We start from the raw sequence: 20,839 nt of genomic DNA, 5'->3' as shown, positions 1-20,839 counted from the left end.
CTGCTTCCGGGATGAGGCCAGTGAAGCACTCAAGGGCCTTGCTGCAACTCCAGCCACCACCCACCTCTGCCTGGGGGCCTTCCATGCCTGCCTTGCTCTTTTGTTCAGCGAGAAACAATCGAGTCCAAGGTGGCCCCAGCATCCTGCCTCCCACTCACACGCACCACGGGAGGAGAACCCAGACCCAGAGAAGAGTCCAGTGGGGGCGGCATGGTGTGGGGAGTATATCAGATTCATGGGCACAGCTCTCAACTTCCGCAGGAAACGCAGAACCCAAATCTAACAGCTTCGTTAGAAAATGAAAGCAGCTAGCCCTACATGTTTGGGTAGAAATTGCTGTTATTTTGCTCAAGTCTTGCACTGACCCTAAGCTGAGACCACCAGAGGGAGACAAAATGACAAGATAATCAAGATACAGGTTTAAAGATCTTGTCTCCCCAGAGAGTGATTTATCCTTTTCACACCGTATATCTTACTCACATAGGCATATGCACAGTGTATCTGCACAGTCTGGAGAAGAATAAGGCGCTCCAGGTTCTCCCCTGCCAGAGGAAGCCTCTGTTTGAAACACCGCTTAGGAAAACCCTAGGCCCTCTGGAGAGGGAAGGGGAGGGGAGTCCCACAGCTTCAAGCCTGAGGGTCTCCACTCCTGCCACCTTTGAAGAAAATTATCCTGAACATGGGTGGTGGACAGAGGCTTCTAAGGTGCCAGTGTGGCCCCAGGGGGTCTCATTAGCTCCAAGACCTGTCCCTGTATATCCTGGGGGTCTGGGAGGAGGTGGCTGGGTGGAGCTGGAGCACAGGTGTATGTGGGAGTGTGGGGGTGCATCCACAAGGCCCGCTGCTCTCTGCAAAGGCACGGAGTCTTGGAGTGCAGCCCTCATGCCCAACACACCAGACCTCTGTGCAACAATGGTACAGTTCCACCCAGTCCTCAACCACGCCATGAAGCAATCTCAGGGTCCCAATTTTACAAATAAGGACCATCTAAGTGGGTCACGTGGCTTTGCCCAAGTTCACTGTCATGAGTTCAGGTGCTCAGCATTTCTGAACCCACTGTATAAAGACCGGTGTTAAGACAGAAACATGGAGCTCACAGGCTACACAGTGAGGCTGACATCAGTCCCACAGCCACAGAACAAATGCATCAGGATGGGCCATGGTGAATGCTCAAAAGGGAGGCTATGGCCCTGGGAAGGAAGGGACAGGGAGGCTGCTCTGGTGAGGAATTTGGGGGTGGCTGCTGTTTAAGCTGAGGTCTGGAGGAGGAGAAGGAATCAACAAGCCATAAGGCAAAAGGAGGAGAAAGCCTCCCAGGCTGAGGCGGGAGCAGGTGCAAAGGCCCTAGGGTGCAGAGACAATGACACCTTAGAAGATCTATAGGATGTCTGGACTGCCGAGGCCTAGGGCATGGGCCAGCAGCTGAGACAAGTCGAGGGTGGGGAGGAAGCGCTGGCCAGATGTGAGGACCCTGGGGCCACGGGTGACAGGCCATAAGGACTGTCACTCCAGGGTATCCATCAGGGAAGTGGCCCAACCACTCCTTCATTAGAAATGAACTCTGGCAGAGGGGCAGGCAGCAGAGAGGAAGAAGGGAGAGCAGCTGAGAGGCTACTGTAGCCATCCCAGCACATGAGTGGTGATGATGGTACGGACAGGGTGACAACGGAAATGGAGAGACAGCAACAGATGGGGATTTAGGGGTCCATCAACAGGACGGAAAGGTGGACTGGAGTCTGAGAGAAGATGAGGACGCTAGACAATGGTTGCAGAGCTCGATGGACAGACCTGCCCCTCACTGAGAAAGGGTGCCTGGAAGAGGACTGAGCTTGGGTTGGGGATTCCAGGCAAGTTTAGTGGCAGGAGCCTGGATGCTCAGTAGGCGGCTGGACTCGGGAGTCCCGGTTAGAAAAACAGATTTGGGAATGAACCATCTGCAGGTGCCAAGTGAAGCTGCAGGCATGGATGAGTCTGCAAGGAAGGTCATGGGCAAGGGGGCAGGATGAAGCCCCAGGACTCTGCTCTGCTAAGTACCAAGAAAAGAAGGGGCTTAGAAAGGGAGGCCTGCCCATCTACACCCATGCTAGCAGGAGGCCAACTACAAGGAGACCTCGTGTATTGGGCACAGTGTCAAGGAAGTCAGTCGTGACCTCAAAGAGCTGTTTCAGAGGAACCGGGGCAGGAGCCAGAGAGGGGGCTGAGAGGTGCAGGGGAGGTGCAGACAATGAGGCTGCCACTCCCAGATTCCGGCTGTGAAAGAAAAGGGGCAGGTAGAGCGGGGTGGTGTGGATAGATGCAGGGTGGGACAGACGTGGTCAAAAGCCAGTGGAGGGGCGAGCAAAAGGGACAGGAGACAAACGACATCAGATCGTGTGAGGTTCCAAAGTGCAGACGGGACCTGGCCTCAACTGGGAGGAGGGGCTGCAGCTCTAATGGGGCAGGACAGGACTGGGAGGAGGCGAGCCACCAGATCAGCAGGAGAGCCTGCCCCCTGAAGTGCCCCCTAGGTCTGGAGTGGGGAAAGGAGGCAGGAGTGGGTGAGTATCAGAGTCGTGTAACTGGCGTCTCAAGTGAGACCTTCTGCTGCAGAGCTAAGGCGTGGCCTCCAGGCCCGACTCTCCAGTACTGCCAGGGCCTGTGCCTTGAGATGCCCCCACTGAAGGTGACCCTATAATATGGCTGATACGAAAGAGAAGACACCATCTGAAAATCACACCTATGGGACATTCACCAGGGAGTGGCCACACCTGGGCCTGCAGCACAGGCTTTGTCACTGATAAAAGGGATTTGGGGGTTCCACAGTGTTGAACTTTAGACACCCAATGAGCAAGATTAAGTCACTGGATGCTGGGAGGAAGAGAAGCCACAACAGAGAGTCAGGGAAGGAAGGTCAAAGCCAAGCTCAAGAAAACGCACAGAGTTGCCCAAGACAGATCCTAACCCTTGCAGTGGGGAGAATGACTTCCCAGAAAAAGCATAATAAATAATTTTTTTTAAAAAAAAATGGCAAAAATGGGAAAAAGCATATGCATAGGCGGTTCACTGCAGCAGCACTATTTGTAATAGCAAAAACCTGGAAACCACCCAAACACTCCTGAACAGGAGACATCTATCCACACAGTGGAGTTCTGCAGAACATCCTCTCCATGCTCCTGTGAACAGCACAGAGCTGTGGCATCACCGCCAGGGTTTAGTGTGAAGTGAAGAAGGCAAGATGGAGATATGGGAGTCTAATCCACTACCATTTACCTAAGAAAGGGGAAGACATGCTTACAATAAAAATATGTAAAATGCTCAAAATGGTTACCTATAGTGGAAGGGAAGAAATTGGGAGGTGGGGGGATAAATAGGGGAAGAAACTGACCTCTTTGCATACATCCTGTGTTGTTTATTTGAATTTCATACCATGTAATTATTTTATATAATTATAAAACAAAATTAAATGGAAAAAGCAAAGTCCAAATAACTAAGAGAAAAATGAAACCAATGAATCTAAAAGTGTATCCAGTTGTGATCTATTCCAAAATATTTTAAAACACAGTTGTCTGACTGTACATCCCTTGTGGGATGTATTCTAAACACAAAAGTAAATGCAAATAAATCATAATCTGTATCTACAATCATGTGTCCTTGGCAGTGTTTGGTATTGTTATTCTGAGACTGCTGTAAGCTTAATGGAATAAAACCAATGCAAAATTATGCTGGTGTCCTTGAGAACAGGAATTTGGGGCACAGGAAAAAGAAACTACAAATGTTAGAACCTATAAACCTGACAAAGTATCATTAGGAATCATGACGTTATTTGATCTTAAAAAATATGTTGTGTATTAGTTATTGTTGGCTGCATAACAAATTACTCGGGAATTTAGTGGCTCAAAACAACAACCGTGGATTATCTGAGAGTTTCTGTGGATCGGGAATCTGGGTGTGGCTTAGCTGGGTGACTTTGGCTCAGGACCTCTCGTCTGTCACAGGCAGCAAGGTACTCAGTGATGCTGCAGCCATCTGAATGCCTGAAGAGGGGAGCATCCACTTCCAAGTTCTCTCACCAGGCCGCTGGCCAGAAACATCAGTCCTGTGCCACGTGGGCCTCTGGATGGGGCAACTGCCAACCACACCAGGCTAGCTTGGTTCCTTCAGAGGGAACAAGTAAGAGAGAACAAGAAAGGACAAGCTGAGACAGAAGCCACATCTCTTTGTAACCTGATCTTGGAAGCCATATCCCATCTCTTCTACCATATTCTATTCAATAGAAGCAGCTCAGTAAGTCCATCCCCCACACAGGGGGAGGGAAGGACTCACAGCCATGAATACCAAGAGGCAGGGGTCCTTGGGGGCCATTTAGGAGGCGCCTTCCACATAGACATATACACTCTCACCAAATCTACAACAACGAGCAACCACACTACCCAGATTACAGTCTCTAAATGTTATTTCACAGGGCTCCATGGAGAAAGAACCAACTGGTTCCAGACCTGGGGCAAGAAATATTTAAGATGATCCTGGAATATACCAGAAAGAAAGGAAACAATCAAAGACTACTGGGTTCACATTGACGGGACTCAGAAAACAACCTAAAGAAGCTCTTATTGGCCATAGAAAACTTGAGCACCAATAATCATGGTAACACACACAAAACACATCAACTGTGCTAACAACAACATACACAACCTCACCGGTTATCTTTTAAAGGCTGTCGGGGAAACTCATTAATTTTTTTTTTTTTTTTTTTTTTGAGATGGAGTCTTACTCTGTCGCCCAGGCTGGAGTGCAGTGGTGCAATCTCGGCTCACTGCAAGCTCCGCCTCCCGGGTTCACGCCATTCTCCTGTCTCAGCCTCCTGAGTAGCTGGGACTATAGGCGCCCGCCACCACGCCTGGCTAATTTTTTGTATTTTTAGTAGAGACGGGGTTTCACTGTGTTAGCCAGGATGGTCTTGATCTCCTGACCTTGTGATCCACCCGTCTTAGCCTCCCAAAGTGCTGGGATTACAGGCATGAGCCACTGCGCCCAGCCAACTCATTAATTTTTAAATTTTTCAAAAAAGAGAAGAAATCAAGCATTTAATCTGCTTTTCTTATATGAACAATATTCAGGGTAACCAAATACTTGAGGGAAAGTTTCTCTACATAGAAGAATTCCAGCTAACTAATGAAGAAGAAATGATGAAATTAGAACACCACCATTTGGCAACTTCTAATCAATTACTAGATCTAGACAATGATCATTAATGGTTGCTAATATCACCAAAAAAGAGATGACCAGATATTATGTGCCTCAATAGAACAACACAAAAATATGTACGAAAGTTTTTGCCCAATCAAACTGAATCTGATCAAGCCTCTATGTCTAAAAACAACCACTATTTTACAGGACACAGAGAATAGAGGAACACATTAAACAACACCATGAAGATGCAATCAGCAAAATCCACACTGCAGGAAAATCTACAGGATAAATGACAGATTCTTCCACAATAACACCAACAAAAATTTGTAAGACAGAAAAAAGAGACGGATGGACAACCTAAAAGAGACATAAAAGAATTATGAAATGCATTGACCAATCTCAATAGACGGGTTTTGTTTGGATCCCCATTCAAACAGCGCCCTGTAAACTGGGAAAATGCAAACAAAAACAAATATTTAATGGCATAAACAAATATTAACTTTAGTTGTGATAACAGCATTGAAATTATTTTTAAAAACAGAACTCCTATATTTTAGAGATACAATATGAAATATTTAAAGAGGCTATGATGTAAGATCTGAGATTTGCTTTAGAATAATCTGGGAAAGGGTCAGGGTGTAGATTAAATACCACTAGCCATGAATGGGTAAATACTGAAGCTATTTTTTCATATGCTTGAAGTTTTTATGACAAAATTAAAAGCATAGATCTTTCAAAAAGGTGTTATTTTTAGGAAGCCATATTCTACTATTATGTAAAATTGTTCCTTCTGTTCTACCCAATCTGATTAAGCAAGAAGAAGTAATAGAAAACAAGAAAGGAAGCAGCAAAAATCATTCTTGTTTGCAGATGGTATGATTGCATGCCAGGAAAAACTCAAGAAAACAACTAAAAATCTATTTTTAAAAAATAAGAGAATTCACTAAGGCAATGGTTTCAAATTTAATATATAAAAATCGATAGCTTTCTTTGTACCTACAAACAGCAACATGTTGAAAAATAATGAAAGTCAGCATTTACAAAAACAATAAAAGGGATAAAACAACAAGAAACAGACAAACAAGATATGTGTTGAATTTTTATGAAAAAACTTTACCGATGAAGATAAATGAGCTTGAACAAGTGGACAGATAAATCCTTTGTTGGCTAGAAAGACTATGTTGTAAAGCTGACATTTTTTCCCCTAAATGGACAGACTTTAAGCATGCCTAATAAAAATACCAGTAAGAGTTTGTAGTGGGCCGGGCGCGGTGGCTCATGCCTGTAATCCCAGCACTTTGGGAGGCTGAGGTGGATGGGTTACCTGAGGTCAGGAGTTCAAGACCAGCTTGACCAACATGGCAAAACCCCATCTCTACTAAAAATACAAAAATTAGCCGGCCATGGTGGTGCACCCCTGTAATTCCAGCTACTCGGGAGGATGAGACAGGAGAATCGCTTGAACCCAGAAGGCGAAGGTTGCAGTGAGCCAAGATTGCGCCATTGCACTCCAGCCTGGGCGACAGAGTGAGACTCTGTCTCAAAACAAAACAAAACAAACAAAAGAGTTTGCAGTGAATAACCAGACAAGCTAGTTTTAAAGTTACTATGGAAAAATAAAAGTGCAAAAATACCTAGGAAAAAAATCTGAAATGGAATGATGGTGGCAAGGTCTGAAAGTAGCCCTACCAGGTAATAAAATGCACCATAAATCCCCAGTAAATAAAGCAGCCTGGATCTGGAACCTGAATGGACCGTCCCTGTAACAGATCCAGAAACAGACCGAGACCCACATGACGATTTGGGTACGGTAAAGGCAGCATTTCAAACTTGCAAGGGAAAGATTCCTTGGATAGTTCTGGCATAACTGGCTAGCTATTGGGACAAAATGCCTAAAATGTAACTTTTCCTGTATAAATACACCAAGATAAATTCCAGATAAATCAATTATTTAAATAATTTAAAATAATACCAAAGTCCTGGAAGACAGCTTTTTATTTAACTAATTAATCAATTAATTTTTTTTTTTGAGACGGTGTCTCACTCTGTTGCCCAGGCTGGAGCACTGTGGCACGATCTCGGCTCACTGCAACCTCTAACTCCCAGATTCAAGCAATTCTCCTGCCCCAGCCTCTCTAGTAGCTGGGATTACAGGCACGTGCTGCTGCGCTCAGTTTATTTTTTGTACTGTTAGTAGAGACGGAGTTTCACCATGTTGCCCAACCTGGTCTTGAACTCCTGACCTCAGGTGACCTGCCCACCTTGGCCTCCCAAAGTGCTGGGATTACAGGCATGAGCCACTGTGCCTGGCCAACAACTTTATTTTCAAAAATAATCTTAGGAGTGTGATGGTCACACTAACCTCAAAAACTCAGTAAGCTCAAAGGAAAAAGACTGATATATTTGACTAAATGACATGTTTAGCAAAGTAAAAAGCATACCAAAAAAAGAAGAAGAAGAAAAGAATGGTAAGCTGGGGTAAACTTTTACAGTACAAACCAAAGGGTTCATTTCCTTTATATGTAAAGAATAATACAAATCAATAAGAAACACCCAAATTCCCAATTGCCAGGGGCTGAGGGGTGGGGGAAATGGGGAGATATTGGTCAAATGGTACAAACCTTTAGTTATGAGATGAGTAAATGTCTGTAGTTAATAATCCTGTATTGTATACTAGTAATCTGCTAAGACAATCGATCTGAAGTGTTCTCACCACACACACAAAAAGGTAGCTATGTGAAGTGATGGCTATGTTAATGCGCTTGGCTGTGGTAGTCATTTCACCATGTAAACTTATATCAATACATTACATTGTATGACTTAATATACAAAACTTTTATTTGTCAGTTATACGCCAATAAAGCTGGGGGTGAAAATCTAACAGAGGAATGAGCACAGGAAACAAACTGGCAGTGCACTGAAAAGAAAAACCACCTATGAACATACGAAATAGTGTTTGGCTTCACTTATTATGAAAGACACGTGAAATCAACAAGACACCTCTTTGCACCCATCGGCCTGGAGCTTATATCAAACAGCCGGTCATGCAGTGTTGGTAACAGTGTGGGAACCTCATACGTAACCAACTCTCATACATGACCAACAGCAGCGTACGCTGTCCCCCCTTGGGAAGGCATTCTGCCCGTGTCTATCAGAGTTGCTGTGCTCCTGGCCTGTACCCCTGCCATAGCCAGGAACCGCCTCCATAAAAGAACCCACACCCAAACACAAAGGCGTAGCCACAAGGCTGTTCACTGCTGCACTGACTGGAAATCTCCCAACAATCAGTCCAAGGGGGCTGGTTAATACCCCATCCCACATCCACTCAACCGATCCTGTGCTGCCGCTTAAATAATCAGGTGGACCTATTGCTGTTTCCAAGATCTAGCAAGAAAGGAAAAAGCTAAGTACAGAGCCATGTGGCCAGTGCAATGTCTATTTAAGGAAAAGGGCCTATGGATGAGCTGAGAAATTCCTGGAGAAATTCACAAGAAATGTAAGTGGCTTCCACTATACAGAAGGACTAGGGATCTGGGATGTATAGGCAGAACAAGAGGTACTGTGGGGATTTCTCATTTTTAACTCTTGCAGCTCTTGGTCTGATACAAGCACTATTCTGAGAAATCTTTAACAACTTCTACTTAGTGAATAAAAGTTCAGATTTTAAAACGACGAATCCCTATTCCTGCTGACTGCATGTAGTACAGGAGAAACATGATCTTGTTTGTAGAAAAAGGAAAGTCATCTGGGTTTCCATAACTCCTCTTTGGAATGCGCCACATCCCCTCTGGTCCCACAGGGTGACCTTCCTCCCGTCCATCCCCCACCCAAATACACCAAAGAGGAGGAGGTGGGAGATGTCTTCACTTTAAGAGTCTTATCTGAACAGGTTCACCCCAACTGCCTATTTTAAGAGCAAACTAAGTCTCAGATCCCATGTGCCCACTGTATGAAACCAACAAAGCAGCTTTACCACTGTGAGGACCCCTGAGAGAAGGAAGGGGTGATAGGTGAGCTCAGCTCCAGGTCTGGGGCATGTAATCTCCATGCCTTCCACATGATCCACACGGAGCTGGGCAAGTTGATGAGCTATAGACAGGCTGTAAAGGACCCCAGGACCCTAAGGCCTGGCAGCATTTTGGCATAAGCCTCAAGCTGCTGGTGGGGTGGTGGGTTTCAAAACATCCTGTATGAGCTTTGGATGAGGAGAACAAAGTACAAAAAGCAGAGTAAGATTTACCAGTCTTTGTTATTTTGTACTGAAGCTGCCACTGTTAGGCCCCATTGCTTGGGACTAACATCAGCCTTTTGGTTTTAATGAGCACGTGTTTACCTGTATAGAAAAGCTGGTCATTCACATATACTCATCCAGAGGCAGTGACCCTCTAAGCAGCTTGGGCTCAAGCTGCTGCCAGACACCACGTCCTGTAGGAGGGGACATCTTGAGGGTGGCTGCTTTCGGATTCCTCCCCGCAGGACAGGCAGTGCATCCTCTGTGCAATCCGCACTTTCATAAGGAGGTTTTCTCTGCAGCGTTAACCTTCCCAGTCTGAGAGGGTCGCTAGACCCCGAGAACTTTCCACAGACAGTGATTGTGGCAGGCCCTTCCTCACAATGCCTCTGCTGAGAGAAGGCTGTGATCCTGCGCCTGACAAGGCCAGGAGCTCTGGCATCTGGAACGCTCCCCTCCACTGAACTCTCTGGCACCTGCATGGTAGGTCTTCTCTAAGTGAAGGTTCTTCCTCACCCACTGCGTGAGGGTCGCCAGGCAGTGCAGTGTGGTGATGAGCTCAGATTCCAGACTGGTTCGAATCCTAACTCTGCCACTTGCTACCTGGTGACCTTCGGCCCGGGATTCACTCTCCCTGAGCTGTGGATATAGTGATTGTTAAGTTGATATACTTAAAACACTTAGATCTGGGCCTGGCTCAAAGAAAGCACCTGACAGGTCTTACCTATTCCTGGTATATGAAGGCATGCTGGGTAGGGAGGAATGACCTCGGCTACGAGTTTATGTGTCAAGCACCAAGACATGGGTCCAAGTCCAGGCTCTGTCCCCCGCACAGCCATGGGACTGCACACAAGTGACTTTAGCCTCACTGTGCATCAGTTTTCTAACCTATCAGACGGGGGAAAGTACTTACTCCTCACGTGGTGGTTGACCAGGCGACATGAAATAGAGAGATGCTGCATGGCACAGGGAGTGGACACCAGGCCCCAACGAGGGTTCAGACGGTATCATGTGCATTGTTACTATTATTTTTTTCATTATTATCAACAATTATCTGATATGAAATAAGGCATAAGCTGAGACCAAATACTCATGAATACTCCAGGAACATTTCCCTTCAGGGCAACTTCTCAGACACAAATAGGGTGGAGGAGCTGCTCCTCCCTTACACAGGGGCTTCCCAGGAACTCACATACTCAGCCTCAGCACTGGACACGCCAGGAGGCTGGAAGGGCCCGCAGTGGGATGGGAAGTGGCGGCAGGCACCCAGGGCTGATTCCAGACCTGCCCTGCCTTCATAAAAAGCCCAGGGTTTGATTGTCTGGCCAACACTAACATCTGAGAGGCTGGTCATGTGACACAGCTCTGGCCACAAAGAAATAAGCAGTGTGTCGAAGAGGCTTCTGGGTCTTCTAAGTAAGGTTCAACTAGATATTCAGAAGCATGCAGTGTCCTAAGGCTCAGCTAGACATGGGGCCGTCTACTCCAAGGGAACAAGACAGACGCCAGTTTGCCTCCTGGACTCTCTGATGGGAGTCCACACTGCACCCACACAGCTAGTCTCATGGGCCCCTGGATGGGTCAGCTGCAATGGTACAGAACTCCCTGGATGGGTCAGCTGCAAGGGTACAAAACTCCCACCAAGAAGGGCATGTGGAACCCATCTGGTCTAAGAGCCTCATGCTCCCAGCAGCCAGTATCTCTCACAATCACCCCATGGGTGGGGCATAGCTTCCAGGGTCACCTTCAAGAGACATGCCAGTCACGAAAGTCACCACTGTGAGAAGCTCAAAGCCCTGGATGCCCTGCCCCGCAAGCATTAGAATTTTCCCATCTAGATACAGTTTATCAAAAAGAGCATCTCACCATAAGCAATGTTGCCTGGAGACACAGCTGACACGCTGCCTTTCAGGTTACCCAGGGAGCACACTATGAAAGGTAACAGAGGGTCCGATTCTCATGCAGAGAAGTCATCACCTCTTAATCCACAGAAAACCTTTGCTTTCCTAATGTCAAGGGGAGGACGTCCAGCTGGTGTGGACTTCAGCCCTTCTCCTTTTTTCTTCCTGCCTAGAACGAGAAGCAATGGCTGGGGCTGCCCACACACTGTGTGACGATGAGGTGACAAGCCTGAAGAGGAGGCCAAGAGACACAACAGCGCCAATCCTGACATCACAGAGCCATCGAACCGGCGGCCTCTTGCCTCTGGACTTTTTTTTTTTGTTTTTTGTTTTGTTTTTTTTTTTTTTGAGATGGAGTCTTGCTCTGCCGCCCAGGCTGGAGTACAGTGGCATGATCTTGACTCACTGCAAGCTCCGCCTCCCGGGTTCAAGTGATTCTCCTGCCTCAGCCTCCCAAGTAGCTGGGACTACAGGCACACGCCACCATGCCTGGCTAATTTTTGTATTTTTAGTAGAGACAGGGTTTCACCATATTGGTCAAGCTGGTCTTGAACTCCTGACCTTGTGATCCACCCACCTTGGCCTCCCAAAGTGCTGGGATTACAGGCATGAGCCACCGTGCCTGGCCACCTCTAGACTTTTTAATATTTTTTTTATATTTTTTTTGATACGGAGTTTCGCTCTGTTGCCAGGCTGGCGTATACTGGTGTGATCTTGGCTCATTGCAATCTCCGCCTCCTGGGTTCAAGCGATTCCCCTGCCTCAGCCTCCCAAATAGCATGACTATAGGTGCTCAGCATCACGCCTGGCTAATTTTTTGTATTTTAGTACAGACGGGGTTTCACCATGTTGGCCAGGATGGTCTTGATCTGCTGACCTCATGATCCACCCGCCTCGGCCTCCCAAAGTGCTGGGATTACAGGCGTGAGCCACCACGTCCAACCCTGGACTTCTTTATGTAAGACACACACCTATTTGTGTAACGTTAGGTGGGGATTTTGATACTTGTACCCAAAGGCATTCAAACTGATAACGGTGTTTAATTTGGAGAAACTTTTCCCATATCCATTATATTCTAGGGTTTGGCATCACCATTATGATGATCTCTTCCTGTTGCTGAGTAAGATTTTGGTCCATGAAGGCCTCGCTGCATATAAATGCTGTAATAGTAAAGGATGTTGTTTTGCTTCAGTTTTCTATGTTTTCATAACAATCAAAGGGCTTCTCTCCTACAGAAGAAACTATAAATTCAGGTTTTCCACATTGGTTCTAGCTGGTCACAGCAGTTTTAGCCTGTCTGAATTGTTTTAAGCCACCGGCCTTGTTTGGATTTGCTTTGGAACAGTCTGAGTGGTGCAGGGAACCAAGTCTTCTGGGATGCCAGGAGCTAGAGTCCGAGGTACCCCAGGCACTGACACTGCTTCCCGATCCCTCACGATCCCACTCCCTGCAGATATGAGATTGGTTCAAGGGTCGGGGAATTTAATGTCTAAATCACCTCCTAGTGTGAGAGTTCTGTCCAGATGACACTATGATACACTGACAAGTGAGCTTCTTGGATCCAGGAGACCCTGCCTCACTGGAGCAGTGTGACTGGCAACCCCACCCTGGCTTCTGCCTGCCAAGGAAAATGGCACAGTGACGTACTGCATTCGCCCTGCTCACGAGGTGCCAGCTCCTATAAACCAGGAACCCAATCAAACACTACAAGCGGGAATGTGGGGAGTGTGGTCTCTTCCAGGAATCATCATAACCTGCTGTGGCCTGAAGAAAACCAATTTGAACCAGATAAAATGTACCTAAAACCACATGTAAACTGCTGGGCAAAACCCATTTTAGCCTATCTGAATTGGTCAAAATGGAACCAAGTCTATCTCAATTGCATGATATTAATTCTGATGGTTTAAAACAGATTCTCACCCAATCTGAGCAGCATTAAGCCAGTTATAACAGTCAAAATTGATTTGAGCCAGTTAATCCAGTTTCAACCAATTGGAACTGGATTAGCCTGGTTCAAACTAGTTCTCTAAAGGCGAATTTGGGGGCTTCAGTTCCCCAGGCTTTAGTTGTTTGCTAAAAAAAGAAAAGCAGCATGGGAAGGGCTGAAAGTCATTTATTTCTGAAAACTAATTTACCTTGCTCCCATAAATATTTATAAGAATTAATTACCAGCTTATTGAAAGAATTAATGAAATTCACATTGTTTATTATAACACATTAGCAGGGGCAGGAAACATCCTCCTGGCAAAGACAGAAATCCTGCCGAACAAGCTCTTTACTCTGAGGTTGGAGCACTAGAAGCAAACCCAGTGGATCTCCTACAGGGGCCCTGCAAGGTCTCCAGATGCTCAGCTCCGTCAAAGCCAGGCAAGTGTGCTCCCCATCCCCAAGAGTGACACAGAACATATCGACCAGTTTCATTCTTTACTGAATGTTGAAATGCACTATTAACCTCCTCAAAAAGGGTGGAACGGTAAAGAAAAACAAAGGATCTAAAAAAAAAAAAAAAGCCTGAATTTGAATGCATTATATCCACCCTGATCAGAAGTGTTAGCTATAACCAGCTGCTTATAAAGACACATCTCAATCTATTCAGTCATCAGTGTCGTCTGTGATGCAATTAGTGAGGGTATAATTAAAGGAGATCGTCTACTGTTCCTTGCATCAAAGCGGGCAGATCAGCTGGACCTCCCCTCCCCACTAAGTGGGGCTACACAGTGTTCAAACAGACAATGGCCAAGCACCTTGCTGGTAGGTAGGCACGCTTTGTAAACAAGCTTTGCAGGTGAATGCCCAAACTAAAAGCACCATTTATTTTGATGTAAAATGCAACTGCCCCTTGAGAAATAAAATTCAAAGTCACTTACCAGCCACAAAACTTGGAAATGATGCCACCTTCTTTGTCTGTTAGGAAATATGGAAAAATAAAACACATAACAATTGTTAAGTAGGTAGCCCACAAGGTGAAGGCTAAGCAGGGCTGTGATATGAGCCATAATGAGAAAAGCAAACCCCCCATGAGTGATGGTGTTCTGAAGATGTCAGCTCCATACAGGAAACCAGTCTGCTGCAGGCAACATGATGTTGGGGAGTGGCCCAAAAGCCCATCATCTAAAACTTAGGGGCCCTCAGACTAGCATATCTTGACTAGAAGGGAGCCTAGGGACCATCCAACACAATGACGCTCCAACCAGGGGGCATGAGAGCCATCCAGGCCCATCTTTAAAAGCAAGATAAAGGAGACTGGATACCACTCCATCGGTGGCCATCGTTATTTCATCAAAGTTAAATAATCTCATCTAAACTATGTTACCAGAAAGGGGAAATAACTTCCATCATAGCACTGTTAGCTTATAGGAAATTGTTTGTTAAAACCTGTTGTTGATTTAGAACAGTGGTTCTCAACTGGGATGATTTTTGTTCCCAAAGGGACATCATTAGGCAATGTCTGGAGACATTTTTGGTTACCACAAATCAGGGATGGGGATGGGGTAGGTACAAGGATCTAGTGGGTTGAGGCCACGGATGCTGCTCAACTACAATACACAGGACAGTCCCCAAAACAAAGTATTACCTAGGCCTCAATGTTAATGGTGTCATTGTTGAGAAACCCTAGTTTAGAACATGGTTATCAGACAATGAATAGAATGGCTTTTTATAAAATTAAGTAGTACCAATGGTCCCCCACCCCCACACACACACCATCTGCAACACAAGAGCACTCCATGGCATGGTCCTAACATCAGGGAGGCCCTCTCCTCCCTCCTCCCAGGCCAGTGTGCCCTCACCTCCTCACCATATGGTGACACCAACTTGGCCTGACCTGGACTCCCTCTCCCCCAGGCACCGGGTGGGATGAGAACATCATGGACAAAGTGAGCAGACCACAACTCGGTGGGCCACTCCATCATTAGATGAGTGTTCCAGCCCAGAACTCTCATCCTTGAAAAAAATTACCTCTGGAATGTTGTTATTGTCAACAGGTCCATTGAGATCAGAGCGCTGCTGCTTCCTTGGCTGCTCCAGACCATTGCAAACCTGGAAACGGGGAAGTTAAAGATCGTGATTTTATATGTTAGAGAAATGCAAGATGCAAAACCTGAATATGCAATGTGATACAATTTTGTAAAATGCATGTGTATGTCTGTATGTGTATAGGTGTGTGTGCAGACGTCTATTTAATTATACTTAAACTGCTATGCACTTAATATTCTATTTTCATACTTCTAAAAAAGTTATTTTAAATCATTTTGAAATTTGTTATCTTTTGATTGCAGTAAAATGCACATAACATAAAGTTCACCATTTGACCATTTTTAAGTGTACAGTTCAGTGGCACTAAGTACATTCACACTGTCGTACAACCATGGTCACCATCCACCTTCAGAATGTCTTCCTCTTCCCAAAACTAAAACTCTGTACCCATTAAACAAACTCCTCAATATGCCCAACCCCAACCCCAACCTGAGCCCCTGCCAACCACCATTCTACTTTCTGTTTCTGTGAATTGGGCAGCTCTATGCCCCTCATGTAAGTGGAGTGATTAAGCAGTCAGTATGTGCCCTTTTGGAACTGGCTTATTGCACTCAGCAAAATGTCCTGAAGGGTCGTCCACATTGAAGCACATGGCAGAATTTCCTTCCTTTAAGGGCTGAATCACATTCTACTGTGTGTACATGCCACCTCTTGTTTATCCAGTCATCTATTGATGGACACTTGGGTTGCTTCCAATTCTTAGCTATTGTGAATGGTGCTGCTATGAACGTGGGTGTGCAAATATCTCTTGAGTCTTCACTTCCACTTCCTTTACGTACATACCTGGAGGTGAAATCACTGGATCATAGGATAACTCTATTTTTCAGTTTTTAAGGACCTTCCATACTGTTTTCCACAGCAGTAGTACTATTTACGTTCCCACCAAGAGTGCCCAAAAAGTTAAAAGCCATATTTTTAAAAAACCTAAATTCTTGGATGAGAATAAATGCAAATTAGCCAATCTGTTACTACAACATAGAAAATGCCCCAAGTACATGTCATAAGTCTTCTCTTAAAGAAGACACCAAACTACAACTGCTTCTACTTCAATTAATAAAATTTAAGGTTAGGTATATTTTCTCTATTTAGTTCCTTATATCATCCAGAAGACAGAAGCCAGATCCATAGCCCTTAAATCCCTGTCCACCTCCCAGAGGAGGTTCCGGAGCCTGCATGGTAAGTCCAGTTCCAGAACTTTCTGGAAATAAATTATCGAGAAATAACAATATGATGATGGCAAGGAAGACACTGATGATAAAAGTTACATTTACCAGCTGGGCACAGTGGCTCACGCCTGTAATCCCAGTACTTTGGGAGGCCAAGGCAGACAGATCAGTTGAGGTCAGGAGTTTGAGACTAGCCTGGCCAACATGGTGAAACCCTGTCTCTACTAAAAATACAAAAAATTAGCCGGGCATGGTGGTGGATGCCTGTAATCCCAGCTACACGGGAGGCTGAGGCAGGAGAATCACTTGAGCCTGAGAGGCGGAGGTTGCAGTGAGCTGAGATGGCGCCATTGCACTCCAGCCTGGGCAACACAGTGAGATTCAGTCTCAAAAAAAAAGTTACATTTACCTAATTTACCTAGCACCTTAGGGTTTACAAAAGCCTCTTGTGTACACAATGAATATTCTTCCCCCTGCTTGACAGGTGAGAAAACTGAGACCCCAAGTGTTGGGCTGGCTTCTCTCGGAGTCAGGTGATGCCACGAGGCATGGCTGCCAGCCCTATCCCCTGTCCTAGTCTATCAGTGTCTTGCTCTTTGATGGAACTCTGCCTCTCTGGGGTTTTGAGAAAAATTAAAGGATCTGGGCCCACCCTCCCAGCACTGATGGGGGCAGATATGCCGTGCCCCAGGTAGTTGGAATGATTGCTGGCTAAGCCTCCCCTCCAGGATCACAGACACCACCGGATTTCAGAGGCAATGGGAGTGGGGGATGCAGGGGAGCGGGCACCGGGCTTTAAGGATGGCGAGGGAGAAGGGAGAGCACTGCTGCTACATCTCAAGAAAGCTACATGGGGCTGCCCTTCCTAGAGCTGAGGTGGTGCAGGGGTGCAGCTGGGACCCAGCAGTTCTGAAGTCTGGTTGGTCCCTGCCTCCCCCAGTCCTGCTGCCCCTACCCCTGAGCCCCACAGGGGCTCACAGGCCTAGCCAGACCACACCCTGCTGTCCTGGCATGACCAAAGGCCCGGCTCTGGTTTGTCTGGGACTGCTGGCACACTGCCCTGCTTTTCGAAGCCTAGCATCCCAGGAGCAAAACCCATCCTTCCCCCTACAAGAGGGCTGTGACCACCCGAGACTCTGTTGCAGTAGACCCTGCACTGACCAAGTGGAGCAGACAGCGCCCCTTTCTGCAGGGCTGAGACTGGCCCAGGTACCGCTCCTGCAAGGTTTCTTCCCCTCACCCATCCCTGGCACTGATCTTCCTGCTATGGCCAAGGAACACCAAGCAAAAGCTTCCAAAGGATGCAACAAGAGAATCTCGCCTCAGATGCCGCTCACATTCTCCTAAAGTAAACCTTATTTGGGACATCCCCCAGAGAGCTCTGTTGAGGACACTTTGCTATTTCAAGGTGCACATAGCACACGTCGGTATTTTACCCACTTGTCTGAAAGTTCCCCAACACAGTGCCCTTCTGCATGGACTTGGGTTCCTGGAGGCCTTCCCTGCCTTACTAGTTGCTGGACAGGTGCTGGTCATCTCCAAAAAAACCCCAAAGAAATCAACCAGCCCACCAGCAAATGAAATCAGGTTAACAACATCCCTCCTGCAAGCTGGGCGGGATTTAATTTGTCAGGCAGAGGGAGCGCCACAGATGTAGGGCGACAGACTCTCATCAGGCGGCCAGATAAGTCAGGGGTTGGGGGACACAACAGGGGCTGCATCCACCACGGGTTAGGGCTGGGCCAGCCACTGTACCTTCATGCAACTTCAAGCCAGGGCTCAAGGCTTGGCTGGGGACACAGACTGATGGCTGCACCCCCATGCCCTACCCATGGGACTCCCCAGTACGGAGGCCATAGTATGGGGTGTCCACGGGCAACACAAGGTTGTCTCTAGGGGTGACCTTTCCTCCATAACAGCGTTTCCTCTATCTCCCTCCCAAGCGGGTGTCCACTTGTCACCATGACAACCACATCTCACAATAAACAGCCAGGGTTACTTTCCAAAGAGGCAGGAGGGTGGGCTTGTGATGCTTCTCCTTGGGAGAGCCCATCTGGTGCTCTAATTTCCATCTCAGGGGTGGCGGGGTTGGGGGGCTGGCAGCATCTGAAATTCACACAGTGGGAGGCCCACATGGATTTGGGGCTCCAGGCATCCTAGATAAAGATACTATTTAAATCCTGTTATGCCCTCCCCAAAGTACAGCAGCCAGCCACCCCTCAAAACAAGATGCCAGCCAGGGTCGCCTCAACTCCCTACAGCCAACAGAGGACACGGGGTCCCATCTGTCGCTGAGTAACTGTAGTGGGGCCTGAAACCCACATCAGCCATCACTCGGAGAAGGCGGCAGGCACAGCATGAGAATCAGCGTGTGTCCCCGGAGCTCTGAGGACAGAAAATTAATGTGTGGTGTGGCACAGACTCTTCACAGCACACGGGACTCAGGGGCAACTGTTCAGCACAGAGATAAATGCTTGTAATAAAAATACACTAATGCCAATAAATCTTTCTAATAAACACCTTGGCTCCAGGTGGTGAAACTAAAGCTTGGATTTTAAAAAGTGTCAATTCTCATTTTGCCTGCTTGATGAAACTGAAAGTACAGCAATATAATCACATTGCTTTGGATGAAACAACACCAAACTAGTGCACACTCACTCCGCTCAGGCCATCGTCAACATAGTCAGGATGCTTCCAAGCACTCTCTGGAATGACAGCCATGTCAGGAGCTGAGGTTAGGGATAGAGGGCATCAGTGGAAAGCCAGGCTAGCCACAGCCATCCCCAGTGGCCTGTGAAAATTCTCCCAAACGTAACCCTGTGACAGAGAAGTCCTGGGCGGACGAATGACTCCGTTAGATGACAATCTTCTCTGGGAATCCCTTCACGGCTCCTGTTTTCAAAAGAGGCGATCATCCCTACTCATCTGATATTTCAACAGGGACTTCTTCCTCCACCCAGCTCAGAAGGGGCGGCCGAGACCCGCTACAGCACCAGAACTCCAAGCAGGAGCAGTGAGAGCATGACCCCCTGGTCAGATGGAAGGTCTCACTCAGCAGCACAGAGGAAGGTCTCACTCAGCAGCGTGGACGTCTTCTTTCAGACGCCCTTGGATCCGTCCCCTGACATCTGCGTGGCTCAGAAAACATTACGGTATTGTTCTTTTCCTTCCACTCCTCTTTACAATTCAGGTCACTCCTGTGATGTTTATCTTGAGGAGAATGGAAGCTTGGATAGAGTATTTGTTCTTATAATAGTTACTCCCCTGGGGGAGATCATATCTTTTCAAAGCGGATCTGTGGCTTAAAAGTATCACGACAAGACACACTGGGAAAAACAGCCAGTCAGTCTGTACTTACAAATCTCTAGGCAGGCCTGTGAATGGGAGGAGGAAGGGGAGTCCCTCCTGCATCCCGGTATCCAGACATCTCATGGAACATATTTATACTAAAAAATTATTCGCTATCTACCTGAAATACAACTTATTTTTTCAATTGCTTATTATGGTAAAATACACATACAATAAAATATACTATCTTAACCATTTTTGAGTGTACAGTTCAGTGTTATTAAATTCATAATGTTGTACAACCCTCACCACTATAAGTTTTTTCATCTTGAAAAACCAAAATCCTATACCCGTCTAAATTCGAATGTAACTGGGTACCCTATACTGTTATTTGCTGAGTCCATCAGCTCTAGGGGGCAGACAGGCTGATAGCACACTCTGGCCTGGCTTTATTCTCCGTGCTTGGTCTGCTGAAATCTCTCCTCCATCACCGACCACTGGGGCCACCTGCACACGTCCTCCACTTCATTGTTCACTGTCTCTTCACAGAGCCCTGTAAAGGGCAGGCAGTGGATGGCTGTGTCCAGTGCAGCATTTCAGAACAGAATCATATTTATCTAAACTTGTCACTGCATTTTGAGGCTTTGTCAAGTACCATCCAAAGGTGGGCCCACATGGCCAGGCCTGAACAGGTGCCTGTTGTATGTCCCATATGGCACAGGGTAGCTCTTGCTAAGGACAGGACGATGCATGCAACAAAGACCCTGACCTAGGACAGCTCACCTTCCAATGTGGAGACAGAACCCAGTGATCCTGCCAGCCTCAGACCCTCCACAGGATGAGCCAGGGTATAAACAGACACACACATGAACAAAAGCAGGCCCTGGGAGATCAGGCCAGAGGAGCTGAAGCGGTGAGGCCAGAGACCAAACCATCAAGGTGACAGGGCTGCTTAATTTTTTTCCTTTGAAAGTAATCAGAACCCTCATGCATTGCTGGTGAAAATGTAAAATGTTCTGTCACTGTGGAAAACATCTGTGGTTCCTAAA

General features: G+C 46.7%; 1 protein-coding gene across 39 annotated transcripts in view, besides 1 other annotated feature; it reads right to left on the bottom strand.

Annotated features, from left to right (window-relative positions):
- The window catches only part of APBA2 (amyloid beta precursor protein binding family A member 2), a 232,342-nt gene that overhangs the window by 28,056 nt on the left and 183,447 nt on the right, over nt 1-20,839 (bottom strand). For 36 of the 39 annotated variants that reach the window (NM_001379685.1, NM_001353790.2, XM_047432424.1 and 33 more), the window contains 2 exons: nt 15,259-15,339; nt 14,169-14,205 (listed from right to left, as the gene is read on the bottom strand). In NM_001379685.1, the coding sequence (NP_001366614.1) occupies nt 14,169-14,205; nt 15,259-15,339 (118 nt within the window). Of the gene's footprint in view, nt 1-14,168; nt 14,206-15,258; nt 15,340-19,160; nt 19,603-20,839 lie in introns of those variants that run through there. The other 3 variants (NM_001353796.2, NM_001353797.2, XM_047432427.1) reach the window with 1 other exon arrangement.
- Nucleotides 2,425-2,926: an enhancer, noted in NCBI's record as "H3K4me1 hESC enhancer chr15:29379537-29380038 (GRCh37/hg19 assembly coordinates)". NCBI's record gives its function as "activates a minimal SCP1, AML or CMV promoter by ChIP-STARR-seq in primed H9 embryonic stem cells {active_cell/tissue: H9 hESC(primed)}" and the evidence as "EXISTENCE:reporter gene assay evidence [ECO:0000049][PMID:30033119]".

The sequence above is a fragment of the Homo sapiens genome, chromosome 15 (assembly GCF_000001405.40).
Source record: "Homo sapiens chromosome 15, GRCh38.p14 Primary Assembly".
NCBI lineage: Eukaryota > Metazoa > Chordata > Mammalia > Primates > Hominidae > Homo > Homo sapiens.
Note: the sequence above shows the minus strand (reverse complement) of the source record. Positions and strands in the feature narration are given on the sequence as shown.